Here is a 25,186-nt window from a genome sequence, read left to right as displayed (position 1 = left end):
GCTGAGGCCAGAAGATCTCTTGAGGCCAGGAGTTTGAGAACAACCTGGACAACACAGCAAGACCCCATCTCTACCAAAAAATAAAAATAAAAATTAGTTGGGTGTGGTGGCATGCACCTGTAGTCCCAGCTACTCAGGAGGCTGAGGCAACAGGATCACTTGAGCCCAGGAGTTCAAAGCTGCAGTGAGCTATGATCGTGTCACCGCATTCCAGCCTGGGTGACAGGGTGAGACCCTGTCTCAAAAAACAAAACAAACCCCAACTCTTGCTCTGTATTCTTTGCTGACTTCTTATCCTTTCTTCAACTTTCAAATATCAGTTTTCCTGGATTTTTCCCTGGAAACTCTTCTCCTTACTTTGTAAACTTTCCTCATAGGTGATCACATATGATACTGGACTTTCAAGGCATCCCATAGACTCTTAGGTTTACAACACTAGTCCAAGCTTTTCACTGAACATCTGATAGGCACATCCCTACTTAATGGAATGAACATGAAAAACTCTTACAAATAAGTATAAGAAGAAAAAAGAAAAAGAGACACCACATTAGGAAACTGAGAGAGCAGGAAAAGGTGAAAATGTCCAATAAGCACATGAACATCTATTCAACCTCACTCATAATCAAAAATCAAAACTAAATTTCACTGGGCAAGATGAAGATGAAATATAATACATATTATAATGAGGAATGTTGAAGAAATTTGCTCTTCTATGCAATATTGGGGGCAATAACTCTGCATTTAGAAGTACAGTTTGTAAATATGTATCAAAACGTAGATTATACGTGTCCTTTTCCACAATGTTACGACTTTCAGAAATGCATCCTGAAATAATTTCATAAATGCATGCTATGCAGACATGTTTTTCATCATTGAGCTTATAAGAACAAAGGTCTAGAGGCAATCTAAATGTCAATCAATAAAGAATGAGTTAAATAAATTATGTATTATCTGCATATAAGGATATCATACACATAGTAATGTGGCTCTACATTTATTTTTAGAAATAAGAGCAATACTATATTAAGTTTAAAAGGTAGTTTTTAAAATAATATTCATATTACAATCCTTTTAAAAAGTATTTGTTTAGACACACCTAGAAAAGCATCTGGAAAGAGACACGATATAAAGCTGATAGTGAGTCTTTTGGGGTAGTGTTATTGTGGGGACTCTTTATGTTCTTTATGCTTTATGTGATTGAGATACCATGGCTGTGTTATTAGATTTTACTCCCTTAATTATAAAAAAAAAAACTATCTCCTTGCAAATGAATATGGGTGTTACTTTTCAGTCCTTAATTACTATGATTGACATTTGACAATATGGGGTGGAGAGATCTCTCTTCATAATACATTTTCTCTTCTGACTCATTTTGAAAGGAGACCAGAGATGCTTTGTCACCCACTCCTTAGCTTTTCCCACTGCTGACTACATACCTTGTGGTTCCTAAATACCTTTATGGAACAACTTAATGCCCTTAATGCTATTTCACTTGGGGACTTTCGCTATCAGCAAGCTTCGTGTTTTGTTTTTCAGTTAGAAATCAATGATAGAAACTTTAAAAGAAATGAGCTTCCATCTAAAATAAGGTTGGCAGAAAAGTAGCCGAAAATAACACATTTCAAGGCTTTGAAGATTAGGAGATATGTGAGAAGTTCAAATAGCTTTTCTCTTATCTGGAGAACTGGATAATTCACTGCTTCACAAGCTAACAAGGGTTTTGTTTTTTTATTTTAACTGGATTTAATGAGAAATGATAACATATAAGAGTTCAGAGCATAGTGAAGATCTTTTTCTTATAAGTTTTTTTCCATTTTTGAATATTAAGATGGAGGCTATAATTTTCTGAACAAAAGTATATAATAAGTTAATAAAAATCTTGAAACATTTTACTTAAAAATATACCTGACAGGCCCAGAGTCCCAAAATAAAATGCTAATTTTAATAATTATTAAATGCTTATCTACTAAAAATAAAACAAAATTTTATTGTTTGAATATTTTGTAAACATGGGAGTCACTTAGAGTGCATGGGAGATATTGATTTCCCTATCCCTTATTTTCAGAACTAAATTGGCAATACTTAAAAGAAATCAAACTTAAATAAAGAACTTAAGGGAAACAGCAACTGAATGCCATTATATATTTATTTCAATCTCCTAGACTTTCTACATTTTCAAGCATATTACTAATAATATTCTGGTTATATTCATAAGCATAGAAAAATCTTCAAATGTCAAAGAAGATTGATTTGTATTCAATATATTTCCAAAGGAGAAAGGTGGTTTTTGATACCACATCTCCAATAAAAACTCATTCAACAAAGAGATTTCTGAATCAAAAATTTCATAGTTCATAGTCTCCCATGCATTCCAAATAATTGAGTTTTTAAGTTCCTTTTGCTTTTATCTTTATTGTTAAATATTATTGCTGTTTTATTAATACATTTTTAAAGGTAAATATATGTATAATATGAAAAAAATAAATATATTTGCAATATTCTAAGACATTTTCATTTCATTTTAAAGTGAGAGGAAGTACATCAGTACAACTTAATCAAAAGTATGTGCTATGAATTTTTTTTTTTTTCTTTTGAGACAGAGTCTCGCACTGTTAACCAGGCTGGAGTGCAATGGCACAGTCTCAGCTCACTGCAAGCTCCACCTCCTGGGTTCACGCCATTCTCCTGCCTCAGCCTCCCAAGTAGCTGGGACTACAGGTGCCTGCCACCACGCCTGGCTAATTTTTTGTATTTTTAGTAGAGATGGGATTTCACCATGTTAGCCAGGATGGTCTTGATCTCCTGAACTTGTGATCAGCCCTCCTCGACCTCCCAAAGTGCTGGGATTGCAGGCGTGAGCCACCGCGCCCAGCCGCTATGAAATATTTTTATAAGATGTTATAATAGTCTTTTCCTGAGACGAGATACAAAGTTGTCATTTCTTAGAGCAGAATTCCAGTTCAATTCATAGATTCAATATTATGAAAAGATTCTTTAGGTGATCTGTGGCCTCATTATTCAGATGAATAATCTGCAAAGTAGGATGTGCAAAATAGAGAAATTTCAATGCTTTGTCTTACTACACAAATTAATGATGCACGAACCTCACTTAATGAAATTGCATTGAAAACAATACTCATTATTTTCTGCTGCTGGTAGAGAAATTGTGTGAGAAGAGGGCTTGCTGAAAAGAGAGGGTCCAGTAGACAGTAAGTTCCACGAGGACACAGACTGTCTTCCTCATTCAGCATCATGCCTGTACTGAGGCCCTCCATAACTACTTGACAAATGAATAAATATGGAGGCAGAAACACTCTCCTGCAGATTTTTAACATGGAAGAAGCACATGGGGCCTGGAGGAGGCTTTGTCCTTCTGAAGCACTGCAAAAAGCAAAAATGTTGGAGGACATATCTAATGTAAGAATATTAATCAATAGTTAAGAATTTACACTCATTTAGCAATAAACTATACTGTAAATGGATTTGGGGAAAATGCTTATTGTTAAGTAAGACATGGGTGTATTTCCTCTGTGTTTGTAGTATACAAATTATTAAACCCTACTTCTCTCTTCTCCTCTCTCTGTGAAAAATAGTATAAATATCAACTTCAGTTCGTTCATATGACTAATTGTCACCACTCTCTTTAATATTCAGACCATACTTACAGAAAAAAATAGAAACCATCAAGTATATACTCAGCCAGCTTCCCTCTCATGCATCTAAAATTACCTTCCTGCTTACCCCTTAAACAAGAGATTCTTAGTCTCTTGCCCAGTTAACTCTTCTATTTGTGTGATTGTACCCAATCCCTCAACTTCCCATGATAGCATCTCATTAGTTAATTCTCATCTTTTCTTCAATTGTTTTTTCTTAAAAATCTCCTGTCTTTTACCAAAACCCTGAACTTTTCCCATTCTAAAGAACAGCCTTCTCTCAGTCCTATCTTTCATACCTACTGCTCTAACCCCTCATTTTTTTTCCTACCCAAATTCTTGAATAAGAGTCTGCACTGTTGCGCACTCCTCATCTTAGGCATTATTCAAGCCACTGAACTTGGTTTCTGCCCCTGTCATACTCGATGAGTTGCTCAGATAGCTGCTGTCACTATTGTCATCGTCACAGCCATCATCATTAGACTGATGTCACTGCAGCCATTGTTGTCTCCCTCAAATCAGTCTCACATATTGCATCTAGAGTGGAGATGCACTAATGTCATCATGCCATCATGCCTATTTTTAAACAGTTTAGGACCTACCTAATGTTGCACTCCTCTCCAGCTTCCTTTTTTGCCATTTTATATTCCAGCCAAAAAACAAAAACAAAAAACCACTTTAGGCTTCTTGAACAGATCATGCTTTCTCAACTCTGTCCCTTTGCAGGTGCTGGCCCTTTTGCCTAGAACACCTGCCTTCTCAGGTCAACCTAGCATTTAGCGTAGAGGATGGCTTCAAGTATTTGTTTTTATCTTTTAGATTAAAATAATCTGGGGTCTGATCACTTAGATTATTTAAAATTCTGGAAATGACAATGATAGCTATGGTTACTAGGACCCTATGACCTTTGTCTACAACTGCCAAAGAAAACTGTGCGTTCTAGTTAATACCCTGACTTCTCTCTTAAAAATCGATTGCTACCTTTTTATATTGATTATAAATATCACATCTTTAAACTAGTATCTTACTGTTAAAAGAGCAAAGTGAAAGAGTTGTTTACGAAGTCTTATAATTATTTTAAGCATTATTTATAGTTAAACTCATTGAAGAATTTTAGCGATTTTGTAATTTTTATACAGTAATTTTTATAGTCCATATCTCTGAGGAAAATGTGTGTTAAAAATTAGTTTCAAAAAATCCAAAACATTCCTAAAGTTTTTATAACTGTTGTTATGTTCATCAAAGCGATATATAGTTTGCCATATTAGAATAGATGATATAAGATTTATGACCAAATAATACTCAATTTTGCAGTTTTTATTCAATAAGAGAAACATTATGATATTGAATTTATTAAGATTCTTAGCATCAAAATATATGTCAACAAAATATAATTTTGTTACATGAACTATCATAATTTATCTGTATGTGGCATTTTGGATTATTAATTAGGCTGAATTCTTATGTGTAAAAACCATAATACACATTGGAATAACTCAACTTGATAACTTATTTTTGCATTTTTATTGTGACATAGCATAAGTTAAATAGAAATAAAAAATTCCATTTTAAAAATATAAAAACAATTTATTAGTGGAATTTTTTGCCATTAGTTGCTCTTGGTTAGTTATAATATTAGCTTCCTTTTTCAGATGTTTCATGAAACCTGTGCATTGTGGATTGATGCACGTGTTCCTCAGACATATTTCTATGTCTACATCTATATCTCTTCTGTATCTGTATATATGTATTTAGGGACTTCATCAAAAGCATCTAAAAATCTTAGCACTACACTTTCCAATAAACAAAAATGAATACATTGACGTACCACATTGATTTTAACTTGAGTGTTTAACAGCATAACCACCAAAGTGTTATCTCTATAAAACAACTGCTTAGTTTCAAAAGAGAACCCATTTCACCCTGTGTGGGGTACACGTGTCCTCTCGTTTGCTTAAAAGGATCAGTCAATAGATTTTAATTGAATTCCTACCATGTGTAAAACAGGATGATCTGTGGAGACACCAAACAGCGAGAGATAGCCCTGTGTTATGTATTTACAGTCTAGGAAGGGAAACATGATGTATATTTATAAAAAATCAACATTACAATGATGCCACATGAGTATTAAAAGAATTTAATTTAATTTATTATATAGAGGAAGAGATTGTTGGAAAGGCAACAGTGTCATCAATTATGAACACAAAAACTCATTCTGAGAAATCCTATGTGAAATGATTAATTGCTCATGTTTTTACTGGCTACAGGAAATGATTCCCATGTTACCTAGAACTGATGGCTAATTGGTCAATAACATGTAATAGTCTCTAGTTTATAAAGGGTATTGAGGAGAATCTGGGGAAACTGAAGCTAATCTGAAGGTACAAATCAATAACAACAATATTAATAGCTAACATTAACCATTACTACTGGTCAGACACTGTGATATGGCCCATGCATGTCTTATACAAGGAGAAAAAACTTTTTAGTGTCTCAAAATGAGAATCTGAGCCAAGGAATCATAAAGTTCCTTGCCCAAAGCCTCTGTATTAATGTTTGTTTTCCATATCATCTCCTCTTCAAACTCCATGTCTTTATTTCCTTTATTGTCTCTATAATTTCAAATAACCTGGAGCTAGCAATTCAGTTGGAAACAAAGAGCCTTATCAAATAGAAATCAACATGAGTAGGAGAGATCAGACCTTAGAAGATCAAAACCAGGGACTCCAGGTAGTTAAAAGAATATAGCAAGAGGTCAGAATACCCAACAGTTTTTAAATTGGGAGAAAATTACCTGGAGGCAAAGATCAAGAGCAGGACAAGGAGAAGGGGCAAAAAGAGCTTCAATTAAAGGGAGAGGGACACATTCCTAAGAGGTGCTCTGGCCCCAAGTGGCCGGCAAATGCTGAAGCCTGAGGACAAGACACTGTCACTCACCCCCAGGCCCATGGCTGCAAACACCTCTGTCATTTCTTTGCCTTCCTTGGGTCTCACTCCTACCCCAAACGTGTTGCACAGCATTGGGCTGGCCCTGCTAGTGTTTGTCACTATGCTGCTGTTTGTCATCACACTGCTGCTGATGGCTGTGAAGTTGATACTCTGAATGGAATCTGGGTTTTCTTTTTTTCAATCTAAATGTAGATTTATGTGAGAACTGGTAGAGACATAGGATCCCAGCAGGGAAATCCTGAGTCTTCAAGACCTGAAACAAGAAGGGAATCGTCACGCACTCCCCACAGAGTCAGATCAGCTCTCCAGAGGAGGGCATATGTGGGTAACAACAATCACCCCAGACACCATCTTTTATTTGTGAATAAGGAAAGGCAGTTGGGAGTCTCTGCATTTAGTGACTCATTTGATAAATTTACTGAAAGACAGACCATTTATATTTGGATTTCAGGTTCTTAATAACTTATTAAATAGAAACAAGCTGGGCATGGTGGGACACACCTGTAGTCCCAGCACTTTGGGAGGCCAAGGCAGGAGGATCCCTTGGGGTCAAGAGTTTGAGACCAGCCTGGGCAACATAGCGAGAGACCTCACCTTTACAATCAATCAATCTATCTATCTATCAATCAATAAGTAAGCCAAGTGTGGTAGCACATGCCTGTAGTCTCAGCTATTCAGGAGGATGAGGCAAGAGAATGACTTGTGCCCAGGAGCTTGAGGCCACAGTGAGCTATGTTCATGCCACTGCACTCCAGCCTGGGTGACAGAGTGAGACCCTTTTTATTAAAAAAAAAGAACAACAAGAAGAAGAAGAACTAATATACGTGACATATACAAATAAAGGGATTAAAGACAGATGTGGAGTGTGGACAAAAGTTATTGAATGTCCAGGACCATGATAACAAAAATACAGGGTTGCCTCAACCAGGGTATTCTTAGTATAAGTTTCTTGTTAGTTTTAATCAATTCTTGAGTTTCATTTAGCCTGTTATCTAACAGGAGTAGAGATGTACAAGCCAAATGGTGAACCCAGATTTTCTAGGTTCAAATGCTGGTTCTACTTCTAACTTTGTATAAGTTATTTAACCTCCCTGAACCTTAGTGTTCTTCTCTGTAAAATAGGGAGGAAAATAATAGTACCTACATCATAGGGTTATCATATGGATTAATGAGTTGCTATTTGTCAAGAGCTTAGAATAGTATCTACTATTTGGAAAGTGCCTCAGAAGTGTAAATTTTTTTCAAAATTTTTCTTATTTTTCTACGTTAAAAACCTGGGCTATGCCCTGCATCCCCTCTTTCCTTAGCCTACTGCCTCCATTTAACAAACACTGCTGATATACTTTGGCAGTGTCCCCATCCAAATCTTATCTTGAACTGTAGTTTCCATAATTCCCACATGTTGTGGGAGGGACCCGGTGGGAGATAATTGAATCATAGGGGCAGTTTCTCTCAAACTGTTCTTGTGGTAGTGAATAAGTCTCATGAGATCTGATGGTTTTATAAGGGGGAAACCCCTTTACCTGGTTCTCATTCTCTCTTGCTTGCCACCATATAAGAGGTGTCTTTTGCCTTCTGCCATGATTGCGAGGCCTCCCCAGCCATGTGAAACTATAAGTCCATTAAACCTTTTTTTTCTTTAATAATTTAACCAGCCTCAGGTATGTCTTTATAAGCAGTGTGAAAACAGATTAATACAGTAAATTGGTACTGGTAGAGTGGGACACTACTGTAAAGATACCTGAAAATGTGGAAGCAACTTTGCAACTGGGTAACAGGCAGAGGTTGGAACAGTTTGGAGGGCTCAGAAGAAGACAGGAAAATGTAGGAAAGTCTTCCTCGAGACTTGTTAAATGGCTTTGACCAAAATACTGATAATGATATGGACAATGAAATCCAGGCTGAGGTGGTCTCAGATGGAGATGAGAAACTTGTTGGCAACTGGAGTAAATGTGACTCTTGCTATGTTTTAGCAAAGAGATGGTGATATTTTGCCCCTGCCCTAGAGATGTGTGGAACTTTGAATTTGAAGGAGATGATTTAGGGTATCTGTCAGAAGAAATTTCTAAGCAGCAAAGCCTTTAAGAAGTGACTTGGGTGCTGGGTGCTGTTAAAAGCATTCAGTTTGTTTTTTTTTGTTTTTTTTTTTTGAGAGGGAGTCTTGCTCTGTCCTCCAGGCTGGAGTGCAGTGGCGCAATCTCGGCTCACTGCAAGCTCTGCCTCCCGGGTTCACGCCATTCTCCTGCCTCAGCCTCCCGGGTAGCTGGGACTACAGGCGCCCACCACCACGCCCAGCTAATTTTTTGTGTTTTTAGTAGAGACGAGGTTTCACTGTGTTAGCCAAGATGGTCTTGATGTCCTGACCTTGTGATCTGCCCACCTTGGCCTCCCAAAGTGCTGGGATTACAGGCGTGAGCCACTGCACCTGGCCACTGTGAAATATTTTTATAAGACATTATAAAAAGCATTCAGTTTTAAAAGGGAAACAGAGCATAAAAGTTTAGAAAAATTGCAGCCTGACGATGTGATAGAAAAGAAAAACCCATTTTCTGAGGAGAAATTTAAGCCAGCTGCATAAATTTGCATAAGTAATGAGGAGTCAAATGTTAATCACCAAGACAATGGGGAAAATGTCTCCTGGCATGTCAGAGACCTTTGCAGCAGCCCCTCCCAGCACAGGCCTGGAGGCTAGGAGGAAAAAATGATTTTGTGCTATGTGCAGCCTAGAGACTTGGTGCCCTGCATCCCAGCCACTCTAGTCATGGCTAAAAGAGGCCAAGGTACAGCTTGGGCTGTGGCTTCAGAGGGTGTAAGCCCCAAGCCTTGGCAGCTTCCACATGGTGTTGGGCCTGCATGTACACAGAAGTCAAGAATTGAGGTTTGGGAATCTCTGCCTAGATTTCAGAGGACGTATGTAAATGCCTGGATGTCTAGGCAGAAGTTTGCTGCAGGTAGGGGGTGGGCCTCACAGAGAACCTCTGTTAGGGCAGTGCATAAGGAAAATGGGTAGAGGCTCCCACACAGAGTTCCCACTGGGGCACTGCCTAGTGGAGCTGTGAGAAGAGGGCCACCATCCTCCAGACCCCAGCATGGTAGATCCACCAACAGCTGACCGTGCACCTGGAAAAGCCGCAGACACTCAGCGGTGTCTGTGGAAAAGCTGCAGGCCATGAAAGCAGCCTGGAGGGAGGCTGCACCCTGCAAAGCCACAGGGGTGGAGCTTCCCAAGACCATAGGAAGCCACCTCTTACATCAGTGTGACCTGGATGTGAAACATGGAGTCAATGGAGATCATTTTGGAGCTTTAAGATTTGACTGCCCTATTGGATTTCAGACTTGCATAGGGCCTTTAGCTCCTTTGTTTTAGCCAATTTCTCCCATTTAAAATGGGTATATTATTCAATGCCTGTACCCCCACTGTATCTAGCAGGTAACTAGCTTGCTTTTGATTTTACAGGCTCATATGTGGAAGTCACTAGCATTGTCTCAGATGAGACTTTGGATTGTGGACTTTTGAGTCAATGCTGAAATGAGTTAAGACCTTGGGGGACTGTTGGGAAGGCATGATTGGTTTTAAAATGTCAGGATGTAAGATTTGGGGAGGGGCCAGAGGTGGAATAATATGGTTTGGCTGTGTCCCTACCCAAATCTCATCTTGAATTTTAGCTCCCCTAATTCCAATGTTTTGTGGGAGGGATCCAGTGGGAGATAATTGAATCATGGCAGCAATTTCCCTCATACTGTTCTCGTGGTAGTGAGTAAGTCTCATGAGATCTGATGGTTTTATAAGGGGAAACCCCTTTCACTTGGTTCTCATGTTCTCTTGCCCATTGCCATGTAAGACATGCCTTTACCTTCCACCGTGATTGTGAGGCCTCCCCAGCCATGTGGAACTGTGAGTCCATTAAATTGAGTCCATTAAACCTCTTTTTCTTTGTAATTTTCCCACTCTCGGGTACGTCTTTATCAGCAGTGTGAAAAAGGACTAATACAACTGCCAATTCTGCCTCCTAAGCAGAACTTGACACCATCTATTTCTCTCTCTGGAAGGTCTGCTACCCTACTCAAGAGACTCAACTCTCTTTCTTGACTTGCAATAGCCTTTTCATTGGACTTTATAGCCTCAGCCTAGCACCCCTACGGGTATGAATCCCAATCCACAACTCAAGTGTCCAGAACAGATTATATTAATACTATTTTCCATAGCCCCAGCTATTTACTATTTTGAAGCCATGTTGAACCTGCCAGGATGGCCAGAAATTTAAACACATTCATTTGGGAGGTTCAGGGTCTTCCACAGTGCCAAATCTCAGGTGGGGCAGGGACAATAGAAAATCTGATCCTTGATGAACACTGGCTGCCAGGAGGCTCCACCACTGCAGTGCGCTTCATCCTGTTTTCCAGGACACAGAGCTCAGAGAGCCTCTGCACCATAATTCAGAACCCTCTCTCCTTTCTCTTATTTTTCTCTTCTCTCTCTTTTCTCCTCTCCTTTTAGGCCTCTCTCTTTTCTGCCTGGAGGACTGCCCTTCCTGCCTTGCATTTTCTCACACCTCCACATTCTCTTCCTGTTACCCATTGCACACAATCTCTAAATTGCTCTAAGGCAATTTTGGATCAAAAGAGCCAGAGAGAACATTTCTGTTTTTCACCTTGCCATATTCCTTACCTGAGGCAATGAGCAGAGGGCCTGTTGTCTGCTTAAATAGAGAATAGGGGAGAAAAACGAAACACAGGGAGAAAAAAATAGATGAATATCTGAAATACTATCTCACCATGCATTCAATATACAGAAGCCAAGCAGACTGGCTGCAAGACCTAAAACACTAATTGAATCTCGTTATTCCCTTGTGTGAACATTTTCGGTGGCTTCTAATTGTGCTGAGTGTCATGTCTGAACTTGGAGACCTAGTGTACAAGTTGAGGCAAGTCATTGCAAGCCCACAGCCTCCTCTGCTCTCCTGTCATTCTCTTTCTTTTTCCCAGTGTTGGGCCATATTAAAACTTACAGCCCTTCTGAGAAGGAATATGGTAGCTCTTCAGATTTAAATTACAGTGTTTGATAGTATTTGCATTCTTAAGATTCTCCCTACCCCACTCCAAACAAAACAAAACTAAGCAAAACTCAGTAGGAAACAGCGATTCTTTGGATCTTTGTTGACCAATACAAAGTACCTGTGTCTACTAAACACCTGAAATGTGCCGTAACTTCAGATTTTGAAGACTTACTATCCAAATACGCAAAATATCTTATTAATATTTTTATGATTACATGTTGAAATAATGTGTTTCATATATTGGGTTAAAGCAAGTAAATTAACATTAATTTCATGTGTTTCTTTTGAGATAGGGTCTCATTGTCTTGCCTAAGCTAAGGTACACTGGCACCACAATAGCTCACTGCAGCCTTGAACTCCAAACTCCTAGGCTCAGGAGGTCCTCCTGCCTCAGCTTCAGAGTAGCTGGGACTACAGACATACACTACAATACCCACCCACCTAAGTTTTAATTTTTTGTGGAGATGGGGTCTCATCTCCTGTGTTGCCCAGGCTGGTCTTGAATTCCTGGGCTCAAGCAATTCCCAAAGTGCTAGGATTACAGGCATGAGCCATCATGCCCAGCTACCTGTTTCTTTTAACTTAAAAAAAAAAATGTGGTTACCAGGAAATTTAAAATTGTGTATGTGGCTCACTTGCATTATAATTCTCTTGCATAGCATTGCTCCAAATTGCGACTACGCAGGAAGACAACCTGATCTATGAAAATACATAAAGGGCAGAACTTCTGTTCCCATCCTGTCCTCTGAAGACCCAAAGATGATGGTGCTTTGACATAAGCCTCAGATAGGATCAGCCTTAAATTGGAGTGACTTTATAGGTAGATGACTTTTTTTTTTTTCAAAAGAAGGCATTGCTTTTCATTTTTAAACACATTCTGTTCAGAGGCCCTTAAACATCTTGAAAGTTTGATTAAGAATTCTAGGTACCCCCACAATAATCCTCAAATAACATAAGTTTCTCTTGCAACCATCTAGAACTTTTGCTCATTCCCCCTCCACAGATGTTCAGGATATTCTTAAACAAATAGTGATAATCCTGCTTTTATTCCTGTGAATTATACATTCCCAGTCCTCCAATGTATAGCTTCTCTTTTGAGGGTCACCATAATTTCACAGTCAGGCAGTCAGCTGAGGGAGGAACAGAGCCACCTTAACCTTCAGCTAATGAAAAATTCTCAGTGGGCTAAATTCGTACAGAATTGAATCAGTACATTAACTCTAAAACCTCTGCAGGTTGTCTGAGACACAAACACCTAAGCAATAATCTGCATGAAGGCATAGAGACACTTACAGTGTTAGAGTACTAATGGATTTTTTTTTTTTAGATGAGCCTGAACAACTTTCTGGTTTTAAAAGATAGAGGAAATAAGACCTGGAGTAGTTAAGTGAATTGCCAGTTAGGGCTAAGGAAATAATTATAATTTATGGCTCTTAACTCTTTCAGTCAACAAATGCTGAGCTACCCACTGTGTGTGAGGTACCCTCCTAGGTGCTGGGATACAATAGATACCAGTTACAGTGCTTTCCTGTTATAACAGAAGACACAAGGAAAAGTTGACTTGAAGAGTAAAGACAATTTATTGTCATGTAACTGAGAAGTTAGGCTAGCATCAGACTACTCTTGATACAGTGGCTCAAATGATGGGATGACTGCCTTCGGTTCTCATTGCCACTTCTTCAGTGCTGGCTCCATTTCTGTGGGTCTCCTCCATTATTGTCACAATATAACCATCAGCAGCTCCTGGGGTTATGTGTTTTCAGATACCAGTCAAGCACAAAACAATTTGAAATTTATTCTTGCAGCTCTAATTTGCCCAAATTGGGTTGTGTGTTCAACCCTGAACCAATTGGTGTGGCCTGGAGATTAGATATGCCTACTGGCTTAAGCCAATCAGGGCCCACTACCAAAGACAAGAACGGAGTGAATTCCATCCAAACCACATGCTTGGAATTTTGAATACTGTAAGGAAGGGGGAAAGGGAATGTAAATGCTGAGAAGCAACAAAAAAATAAAATATAATTCTTTCCCTCAAGTGCTCACACTTGAGAGCTTTCCAATTCTCCTGTTGGTTTTTACACTCTGTGTCATGGAGCCCTAGATGTTCTCTAGTGGCATCTCAGGATTTGAGGGGATATGCATCACTATAGCCTCCAGCCCATTACCTCCAACTTTAACAGAGCTAGCCCTCTTTCATCTGTTCGACATATTGGGCTTCCATATGAGATTTTATTTGAAGAAAGTGCCTCACTGCTGAAGTACAGTGGAAAGCTGCTCTCCTACACATAATACTGTTGCAACACCAAAGTCACCTACATTTCTTTTTATACGTTACTTTTTCTTTGATTCAAGAATTTACCCCTATTTCTGTATTGGCTTTTCCCATGCTAATTTAATGGAATCAGAATGTCATGGAGGCATTTCCTGGAACTTAGGTTTTAGTGCTGAAAATTTCATTTCAGGGGTTTTCTCATGCTTCTGATATTTTGCTGATAGTAGTCATTTTGTAGATAGACTTTCTTCCCATTTTCTCCTTCATTTACTTACTCAAAACACTTGAGAATGATTTCTGTATCTGTAAGACTTCTAAACACTCAACTTTTTAGTCATGAGTAAGCAAGTGAAATTTTTTAATAAGCAAGTGACTATGTACCAGTGAGGTGCATTAGTGTAGACACTAAGCAAGTATAGTATGACTGTCCTTCCAATAATCTCACTGTTTATCTGGAATACAGTTATAGCTGATAGTATGAATATTAACACTTAACAAAAAAAGCAAACTTTTATTCAAGAGAAGACAAAATGTCTCTTCCTTCAGGTCAAAGTTTGCAGTATATTTGTTATGGTCATATACTTGGTGAATTCTTCACTTTCTCTGATAAATTTTTTTTTTTTTTTTTGAGACGGAGTCTCGCTCTGTCACCCAGGCTGGAGTGCAGTGGCGTGATCTTGGCTCACTGCAAGCTCTGCCTCCCAGGTTCACGCCATTCTCCTGCCTCAGCCTCCCGAGTAGCTGGGACTACAGGCGCCTGCCACCACGCCCGACTAATTTTTTGTATTTTTAGTAGAGACGGGGTTTCACCGTGTTAGCCAGGATGGTCTCGATCTTCTGACCTTGTGATCTGCCCGTCTCGACCTCCCAAAGTGCTGGGATTACAGGCCTGAGCCATCGTGCCCAGCCTCTGATAATTTTTTTAAAATCTCTTTCATATTCTAGTCAATGAAAATATAAATTTTTAAATCTATCACATTTGTCATTAGCTCTCAAAGAATTCAGATCTCTATTTGTATTCAATTTCCTCCCATCCCATTTCACCATCATGGGATAATTGGTTTATAAAAAATTTTTAATCCCTCTAAGTACTTTCAGAGAAGTACTTAGAGAATTCAGACTGTCCCCTAAAATTCAGTCTTAAGCAATGCATATCATAACTTTGTGTAGTGAGTCTATTATATCAATAGTTATTTACCCACTTAAAAAGCAAATGATTAAAAAGCATGAAAATAGATACAAATGCACAAATATTTCAGATCGGTATGGATTTATTTTTACATTAGTTATCTTTGTTTTTCATTTGGTGCAATATCCCCATTTAAGTTCCTTGGAAATAGACTCCATGAGAAATTTGTGTGTCTGGAATTTTGGGAAGTGTTTTGATAACAACAGCTGAAAGGAAATGAAAAAAAAATTTTGGACAGATGGAGAGGCTCATCTGTAACACTGTCATGACAGAGGCCCCAGGTTATCATGGGAACTCTTGACTTAGCTGGCTCCCCAGAGCTGTCCCAAATGGAGGCAAAGGGGCTTGGCCTTTGTATCCCACACTGACCAATCACTGGATGCACAACACCCCTGGGGAGGGGTCGTACCCTGAGCAAGGCAGTTTCCTTCAGCCAAGGGCAACACTCTTGTCTGCAACCAGCACTCTTAGCACTTGAGGAAATTAGCTCCTCAGTTCTAAAGAGGAGGGGCATCCATTACAGTGCAGGGTCCCCATCTTCATACCCAGAGAGGAGCCTTGAGGTGTAGAATGATAGTTATGTATCCCAGGATTTCCAAGGGGTTCTATTCTCTCTCATGCCTTGTTTGCCATTCACACAAGTTATTTCTAGTAACTTTAAATGCATGATTGAGTAAGGTAAAAGACATTTGTTGACACAATTAAAGTACAAGTAATAAATGGTAAATCGAATAAGAAAAACATGTAAGGGCCTAAAAGATTAATTATTAATTAGTGCATATGTGCTGAATCTCTATTAATAAAAGAAACATGGACAGGCCATGAATTTCTGGAGGTTGACTTTTTTAGGTATGTAGTCTCTTTCTTAAGTAGGGGAGAAAAGAGGAAATCACAAGGAAATTATTTCAAGTATTTCATTGGTTAAATTGCCTAGTCTTGGCAAAACTCTGAGAAACTGGGTAGCACTTTTGTTATCAGCAGAAACAACCAAAAGTATCACGGATATCTTCAAATAGCATATAAACAGAAAAGCATTAAAAATCAAATAGGGATAGATAGTTGGTATAAACAATGTCTTCCACCTAAAGTGTCTGCTACCAGACTGAAACAGCCAGTAATAATATGATACTATAGGCAATCCTTGCTTTTGCTCACTGCTGTGTTAACTGAAACTGGTATATATTGAAACCACAGAATGTAAGGACCATCTTGTTAACTTTTATTTCAATTATTGTAACTTTTATTTTCCTAAAATTATGCTTCTATCTTGAAAATAATTAAGTTGTCTGAATCATTAGACTGTAACTTCATGAAAGAAGAGACCTTGTCTGTTTTGACTGATTAATTTTATCCCTATAGCCTAATACAGTGACTGGTCCCACAGCAGACATGCAATAAATATTTGATGAATGAACGGCAGAACCATCAACCAAAGGAAGTAATTGTATAGCAGCAGCCTGGTGCCCATGACTGTCTGGTAAATATCTGAATTATTGCCAGATGAAATTTTTTTATTTTAATTTTATTTTTTATTTTTTTCTATTACTTATCAATTATACAACCTGGGTAAATTTAGCAAAACTAACATAACTTTATGTAAGAAACTGTTAGTGTTTGCTTCTTATTTAGAGATGCATAATTTTATAGCAATCTTTCATAATATTGTATTCTAAACAAAGATTAGTTGTTCTCTTATTTCCAACTAATTACTATAGATCTAGTTCCCAAAAGGATTCACATTCATATGTATGTATAATTAGTGGAGCCCATAGTGAATATTTTATATATATATATATATATATTTTTTTTTTCATTTTTTGAGATGGAATCTCGCTCTGTCACCCAGGCTGGAGTGCAGTGGCACCATCTCAGCTCACTGCAACTTCCGTCTCCTAGGTTCAAGTGAGTCTCCTGCCTCAGCCTCCTGAGTAGCAGGGACTTACAGGCATGCACCACCATGCCTGGCTAATTTTTGTATTTTTAGTAAAGACAGGGTTTTGCCATGTTGGCTGGGCTGGTCTCGAACTCCTGACCTCAGGTGACCCACCTGCCTCAGCCTCCCAAAGTGCTGGGATTATAGGTGTGAGCCACTGCGCCTGGCTTATATATTATTATTTTTAATAAAATAAGTTTAGGCTTTTAAATTTCATTAGAAAAATAATTTTCTGTTGACTTAAAAAAAATTCAAGTTTCTAACCCTACTCAATATTATTCATGCTTACATAGACTGGGATATCTAGTATGTAGAACAGAAAAAATATGGATATTAAATAAGGACTAGAAATGCAAATATGAGATGCAGCAATGCTCAGAGGCATGGAGAAAGCTGAATGATGACTAGAAAACAGAATGCTTAACCCCATGGAGTCTCTTAAATTTGTGTTTAACAGCAGACTTTTAAACATGAAGGAATAGCTTTTTATATTTATAAGAAATGCCCTGGTACCTTGAAACAGACAAATTTGTGATTTATAAATTGATTGTAGAAGATCTAGTGCTTTCTGCCAAATAACATTTCTGCCAATCACTCTTGTTTCTTGGACTAGTCTCAAACCTCAAATTCATGCATTTTCTGCTTTTTGGAGTTTATCTTATTCTTGGTTTCTCTCTCATTTCTCATAAAGATGCAATTTTCCGGTTTTCATCACTAAGGTACAAGTAAAGACCAGCCTAATATGTTGACAGCCATTGGGTTAACTCTTTCATTGCTTGAGTGGCTGGTATTCCCAATTCAAATTGACACCTCTACACAATTACTGAGCACCTCCCTCATGATTCCTTGTGTTAAATTCATGAAAGCTGAAGAACCACCGTGTTGCAACAAGATTAACAACAGTGTAAGCTTAACCTCAGAAGGATAGTTAGAAAGATAAGAAACAATAACCCACAGTTGAGTGAATTACCAGTTCCACCATGATGGCAAAATAAACAACATTAAGTGGCATTACAAAAATGACTTCATTTGGGTTGGGAACTTTCATTGAAAAGAAAAGAATATTAGAAAAGAAGTAAGTTTTGTTTAATCTCTTCTTTTCATTCTTTTTCCTGTTACCGTAATAAATGAAACCAGGAGTGGTGGAAGAATAGAGTTTACTTTCTCACTCAAAGTTGGTTTTTTCTGTTTGTTTCTTTGTTTTGTCTGTGTAGATAAAGTAACAGTTTGGCTAAAGGAGAAATCTTTTCTCTTTGAAGATTCTCCTTATTATGTTGGTAAAGCAGAACGAAACCCATATTCTTTTCGGTGACTACAAGTTGGTAAACAGTGCTCACCCTTACATTCAGAAGTTGTGTAAGGTCTAAACAAACGCGCCAATATAAAACTTGATTTTGAGTAGAAGACGGATTTCCTATAACTATTAAGAAGAGGAGGAGATTTTGTTCTTTTCTTCTCTTAATAGGAACACTGCTGTATAAGCGTTGCCTAAGGTATCATTAAAGCCACTTTTTATTTGCCTTAGCTTAAACGACTGGCAGACAAGCTTATTGTCTTTTAAAGCTGAACCGAGTACAAGAGCCAGTTGTAATAGGTCTGCTTTGAACATTGTTGTTGAAGCCCTCTTGATTATACGTTAAAGCTTGCAAAATGTATGTATAGTGCTTGATGGATTACAAAACCACATCTATATCTATTATCACTTTCGATCCTCAAAAAAACACTGTGACTTAAGCAAGGATGCTATCTGACAAATTACAAAACTCATGTGCCTCAGCAATGCCTGCAAGTTTCCAGTAATTTCCCTGGGTAATTTGGTTCATGGAACATTGCTCTGTGTCACATTTCCCTTTGTTAGTAATCATGGAAATAGTTGAATGCTGGACAAGCACTGTTCCTACAATGTTATATTAAGATGTTTTATTCACAGAGAATATAATATAGCTCATATACAAGCATTATGTGTGTAGAGTGCTGTATCCTGGGTTATAGCTGCTGAGAATTTCCAGGCTAGGTCCAGTGTATGAAAAATCTTATTCAGTTTGCCTGCATTCAAAGCCTGAAGATGTATCCTGCTCCACCATTTAAGCTTCAGTTTCAGTGGCGTCATGAGATTTGATTGAAACATCTTGCCTGAACCCTTTCCACGAAAATTTTTACCTTTATGTCAGTATAAAGCATAGTGTTTTTCCAGAAGATTTGGCACTAGTTTTACTAACCGGGTTTGGGTCCCACATGTATGCAGCTTTTCTTTCCCACCTGTATGCATAACGCCTGTCTAGTTTGTTGGTGGCTTCTGCTGGTGTGGGCAAAGCCTAGGACTCTGGGAGTCTGCTGTTTGTATGAGGTTTGCTTGATATTTTGCCTTGAAAACAAGTCACTGTCCCTGATTTCTATGTGTCAGAGCAATCTATCAGGCTTTCTAGCTTCTCAGCAGTCTACTGCTCTCCACAGTGTCCGTTGAAATTATGCTTCAATGTCCTTGTAGGACTGTATCTGTCCTCACAGCTTGTGGCTGTCCCCACACCAGCTCCCCAAACCACTTCTGCTTGGTTGTCCTGTTGTTGTCTATTCTTCTCACCTCTGGTGTTCCAGTGTGACAATCCATGCAAGTAGGCTGGCCACATACCAAGACATTATTCTTGATGATGATCCTGACTTTCCATTTAATGCTAAGCATTAACATCACAAGTACATAGGAAAACCAGATGTTTTTCTAACCTGTTTCTGTCTCATAACTGTGGGTTAGGATGTGCATTACCGTCCTATCTCTCTAAACCTTCATTTTATGTCAGAAGCATGATGCTGTATGGGGACTTTCCAATTTCCAGAAAAGCATATTTATCTTTTTAATCTACTTTCTTCTTGTATTTGTTCTGTGCAGTCTTAGGCAAGATGCTGCCTACATAGCATCAGCTATTCATTTCATGTTGTAATTGCAAACTGTAGATATGTAATTACTGATGCTTTTTCAATATAGATCTTCTACACTGAATAGTATCTAAAACCTAGATGCCACCTTGTGATTCACTGGTTGTATTGCTAATTAAAACTGGAATTCTGTAAGTTCCTAGTCAATTTCCATACAGTAACAATGTATGTTTTCAAATTTTACTACTGAAGGTAATATGTTATCATGAGATCAAATACTGTTTTGATTGTGGGTATACATCTGCTGTCTCCTCCTTGAAGTAAACTTAAGATAATAATGGAAGCAAATGTAAGGTGATCTTTCAGCCTTTTAATTTAAAAGCCCTCATAAGTGGTCACTTCTTTATTGGCCGAGTTTCCCAGCATTTGAGTTCTCTCTACCTGGGGAAGCTCCTTATCAGTTATAGATGGTAAGGAACAGATTTTTTTCTTTTTTTGGTCTTCCACAAAAATAACTATAAGGGAAACAGAGATGTCTTTGTCAATTAGCAACTGCTTAAGTAGTCAGCTGCAGCTACTAACTTTGGAGCACAGCTTGAAGGTACAGATACAGGGACAGTGACTTTAGGCCAAACCTTGAATTTTCATAAAGAAAACATCGTGCTCAAATATTTCACCTAACATTTATGTCTAAAAATGAGCTAGATATTTTAACATCCACCGTATTATTTAATCCTGAGAAGAACCTATGAAATACATTATTTTCTCCATGGTATAAATGAAGAAAATGAGCCTCAGAATGGTTTAGTTAACTGTCCAATTACACAGCTAGTAAGTGATATGGGCAGTGAATAACCTTATAGGTCCTGAACATTCTGTCCACTCTAGCCACCATGCCATCACTTCATTCCATATTAAATTTATTTGTACAAAATCATTACCATAAAGCTGCGATCCACAAACACCAATCTAAGAGAGATGGTATTGCTAAAAAATAATAGTGAATTAAATTAACTCAAGTTTTCTACCTACAGTTTCCAGTCTTGTAAAGGGAATTCAGATAGCAAAACCTGCAGAAACGTTTGTTAAAACCTTCTTTCCTTCTCTATCCCTGCTCTCTATAACCTCACTTTATCTGAGTCCTCTCACTTAAAACTCTTTCACAGACTCCTCTGTCCCTGTTGGAGCTTTTCTGTCTTCTACAAAAGGATAGTATTCTCCTCATCTTACCCTCTACTATTCTACCTATAATTCCACTTCTATCGCATTCTCACTATTCTAATTTGGCATCACAAAAGCCCAAAGAATCAGGCAGTAGAAGGACCCTCCTAGGAGTGTATTGGGGACAGCATAGGGGGATGACCCAAGTGGGCAAAGCCAGTACCCTCTTCAGTAGTCAGTGTAATAAGACAAACCTGGGAGTTGAACAACACAAGTCACATGGTCAAATACAAAGAAAAGGGGTAGAGAAAGACATCCCACCTTCTTATTGGGTCAAACTAAAAGGCACATAGCAGTGGACATGGATACTGGAAGAGGTAAAGAATTGGGGACATATGTCAACAGCTTTCCCTCAACAACAACAACAACAAAAACAAAATCTAGGAACACCTACATCTGGATTTAACAAATCCAGCACTTGCTTGGAAAATTAAGAACTGTGCTGTGCTATTCAATTCCACTTAAGTCCTAGAATCCCTGCTGCTGCTTACTTTAAAAACCCCCATGATAACCAATGAGTTATACTTGTAGGTTGAATTTGTCCAGCTCTTGCTAGAGTATCTTCCCTAGTTCTCATATGTGTCATGGTGGCCAAAAATATTTTATTTAAGAAGTCAGAGAAAGGGAGAATTTTAAGTATGATGCTGAGATCTCCTATACTGTCCACTCAGTTCAGTTCTGATGATTTCACTTCTGCATCATTTAGGTATTTTGAATAAAGCCAGGATAATAAACACAAAATCTCCGCAACATACAATAATATGCATTTATCTAGCTCATGGGTCTGTGGGCCACTTGGAGTGGGCTAATCTAGGCTGGGATAGGCTGAGGAGTTATGATGATCTTAGCTGGTTTGCTTCTGTGGATGAGGTCAGCTGGGGATTAGGCTGGACTCCACTGGGGCAGTTTAGTTTTGCTCTACATATCTCTCATCCTCCTCCTTGGATAAGCCAGTTAACCCAGAGAGGTTCTCACAATAGTGAAAGTGCTAGAGGGCAAATTCAATAGTGCAAGCGTTGCCCAAGCCTTTGGTTACATCATGCTCACTAATGTGAGCAACACAAGTCACATGGTCAAATCCAAAGAAAAGGGGTAAAGAAAGACATCCCACCTTCTTCTTTTTTTTTTTTTTTTTGAGACGGAGTCTCGCTCTGTCGCCCAGGCCGGACTGCGGACTGCAGTGGCGCAATCTCGGCTCACTGCAAGCTCCGCTTCCCGGGTTCACGCCATTCTCCTGCCTCAGCCTCCCGAGTAGCTGGGACTACAGGCGCCCGCCACCGCGCCCGGCTAATTTTTTGTATTTTTAGTAGAGATGGGGTTTCACCTTGTTAGCCAGGATGGTCTCGATCTCCTGACCTCATGATCCACCCGCCTCGGCCTAGACATCCCACCTTCTTATTGGGTCAAACTAAAAGGCACATAGCAGTGGGCATGGATAATGGAAGAGGTAAAGAATTGAAGACATCAATAAAATCTACCAGCATTGACTTATTTTTCTTGAGTATCCTCCTCTAAAAGTTATATAGTATACATTTAGGTAGTGTCAGCTCTAGATGCAGGTACCATCCATTCATTTACTCATTATTCATTTAACATATAATAATAATTTTTTACACAAGTGCTGTTTAATGGAAATACATCATGAGTCACATGAAATTTTAATATTTCTAATAGCCACATTTAGAAAAGGTAAAAAGAAACTGATAAAATTAAATTTAATAATATGCTTAATTAAATAAATCCAAAATATTATTATTTCAATATGTAATCAATATAAAAGTCATTAATCAGACTTTACATTATTTTTCCCTACTGTCCTAAAAATTCAATCAGATCCAACACCTCTCAGTTTGGACTAGTCACATTTCAAGTGCTGAACCAAAAACAGCTAGTAACTATTGTATTAGTGAAATTATAGACTACGAATTGAATTTGGTGCTGAAGATACCCGACACTTGCCCTATGGATAGTACAGTCTAGACATAAAGACAGAAAAAAATGACCCAAAGCTGTAAACAATTGTTGCTGATGTTATGATGGAACCAAACAGGATGGTACTATGGAGAATGACAGAAGGAGAATTAATTTAAATTGCATAGTCATTATATATCTTTCTGAGAAGTTCACATCTTAATGAAGATCTTTGGGAAGATTTTTGTGTTTACATCTCTTAGATCTTGTCATGCCACTGTACAGCATCACTTCTCCTTATTCTAACAGTTCTCTATTATACACCCCCACCACAAAACTCATCAAATTTTCCAATCTCCTAGCCGGGTTTAGTTGGAGACATTTCAACATACCTTTTCAAAATCTCTTATAAAAAGTCATCACTATGCTCCTAAGTCTGGAAACGAAGATGCAGTTTGTTGCAAAACCAATATAGCAAAGGGATATTACCTGAGATCTTATTACCAAGTGGATAAATTTCCTCATTATGACTTTGCCTGATAAGAGCCCAACATTTTATGATAAAAAAGTTGAATGGAAAAGTTGTTTTTCTCTGTGTTTATCTCCTTTATAAAAAACGTGAGTGGTAATAGAGAAAATACATAATGAATGTAGATAAAAGGGAGAACATTGCTTCAGAAGTAATACAAGGACTAACAGAAGCAGAGAATGGAAAAGGTGTGAGAAAAAAAGGAAACATTAACCGTATTAATCTGTTCTTAACCTGATTAAACTTGGAACTGCCCAAGAGAAAGTTTTGACTTTTCCATGCTAAACTATCCAAGCAAGTTTTATCAAAGAGGGTAATTTTACTAAAGCAATTATTGTCTATTGAATTTGAAAGCGTCCTGGCAAGAATAGGGAGATAAGGTATTTCTTTGTATTATAGTAAAAAAAAAAAAAAAAAAAAAACTGATTTTTCTTTAAATATATAAACATAGCTTAAAGAACTGAAAGAGCTTTCTTTTAAAAGGTATGAATCACCTTGTGATTTCATTTTTTAATCCTGTTCAGTTTATTACATGCCTTTTCATTAGTGAGTCATTGCTTTCGTTGTGTAACCCATTGATATCAAAACTACCTTGCTCGGTGTCCTCATGCTTCATTGTTCCTTGGGCAAAATGGCAGGTCCCAGGGATGGCACTTGGAATAACACTGTCAGCGAACCCAGAGCCCCTTTGACTTTTATTTCTGGTGTGATCAGTACTCACATCTAAATAGCAAACAGTTTAAATAGTTTTGGGGTGATATGGTACAAAAAGCAGCATACTGAATTTTAAGCTCCGAGATGCTGTTTTCACAAGATATTGCTGAAAACTACAGTTACGGCTCTGTGTTTTCATACTAGACACTTTAGAAAATGACTTTAATTACATAGAGAAGAGAGTCCAGATTACATGGCGAGCTTTTTTACACTTTAAATTACAAAAATATATTTGTGCATCTACTGCAGTTTTTCATGAAGGATTTACATCAGAACAGCAACACCAGCTTCGTGTTTAGCAACAAAGGACCCCTTCGAGTTAACTTTTCCAAATAATATTTTTTTTCCACCAGTGGATAAATACCAGATAGCTCCTCTCCTCTCCTTTCACATACTACATCTGACATTCTGGATTTTAACATTGAGATGTTTTGGGTCATTTCATTTCATTGAGATATTTTTAGATGGGATTAAAAACAAATTGAAAAGAGTCAAGCAGTAGTACAGCTAATGCCAAACCAGTGCTTTATGAATTGGTGCTTTATGAATGAAAAGCAGCTGTAATAGGGAGGCCATGATGAAGGCTGAAAACTACCACCACTACTACCACCACCCTTTGCCCCAGGTCAGGAAGCGTGCAGGGGACTTTGATTAAAGTTATAGAATGGGAAGTTTGGCAACAGAGACATCATCATTAACTCAGAGACAGAGAATGGTCCTGTGAAAAGGGAGAGCCTTCGTTAAATAGTAGTTAAAGTCATTTAGTAAAGACTAAAAAGATTGCCAGTGTAATAGAGAGTAAGCGGTGTGTGTGTGTGTGTGTGTGTGTGTATGTGTGTGCTGAAGCTCAAGAATTGATGTAAAACAATTTAAGCTGAATTCAGTGA

The 25,186-nt window shown here is 38.1% G+C and overlaps 1 protein-coding gene and 1 long non-coding RNA gene across 12 annotated transcripts in view; one reads left to right on the top strand and one right to left on the bottom strand.

Moving 5' to 3' along the window:
- HDAC2-AS2 (HDAC2 and HS3ST5 antisense RNA 2) overlaps positions 1–25,186 on the bottom strand; it is a 371,029-nt gene that overhangs the window by 75,590 nt on the left and 270,253 nt on the right. The window lies entirely within an intron of this gene.
- The window catches only part of HS3ST5 (heparan sulfate-glucosamine 3-sulfotransferase 5), a 287,428-nt gene that overhangs the window by 77,884 nt on the left and 184,358 nt on the right, over positions 1–25,186 (top strand). The window contains exon 1 of one of the 11 annotated variants that reach the window (XM_017010471.2): positions 14,884–16,597. The exons of the other annotated variants lie outside the window; for them this stretch is intronic. The gene's annotated coding sequence lies outside the window, so the exon portion shown is untranslated. Of the gene's footprint in view, positions 1–14,883; positions 16,598–25,186 lie in introns of those variants that run through there. 11 annotated transcript variants of the gene reach the window in all.

Source organism: Homo sapiens, chromosome 6 (genome assembly GCF_000001405.40).
Source record: "Homo sapiens chromosome 6, GRCh38.p14 Primary Assembly".
Lineage (NCBI taxonomy): Eukaryota > Metazoa > Chordata > Mammalia > Primates > Hominidae > Homo > Homo sapiens.
Note: the sequence above shows the minus strand (reverse complement) of the source record. Positions and strands in the feature narration are given on the sequence as shown.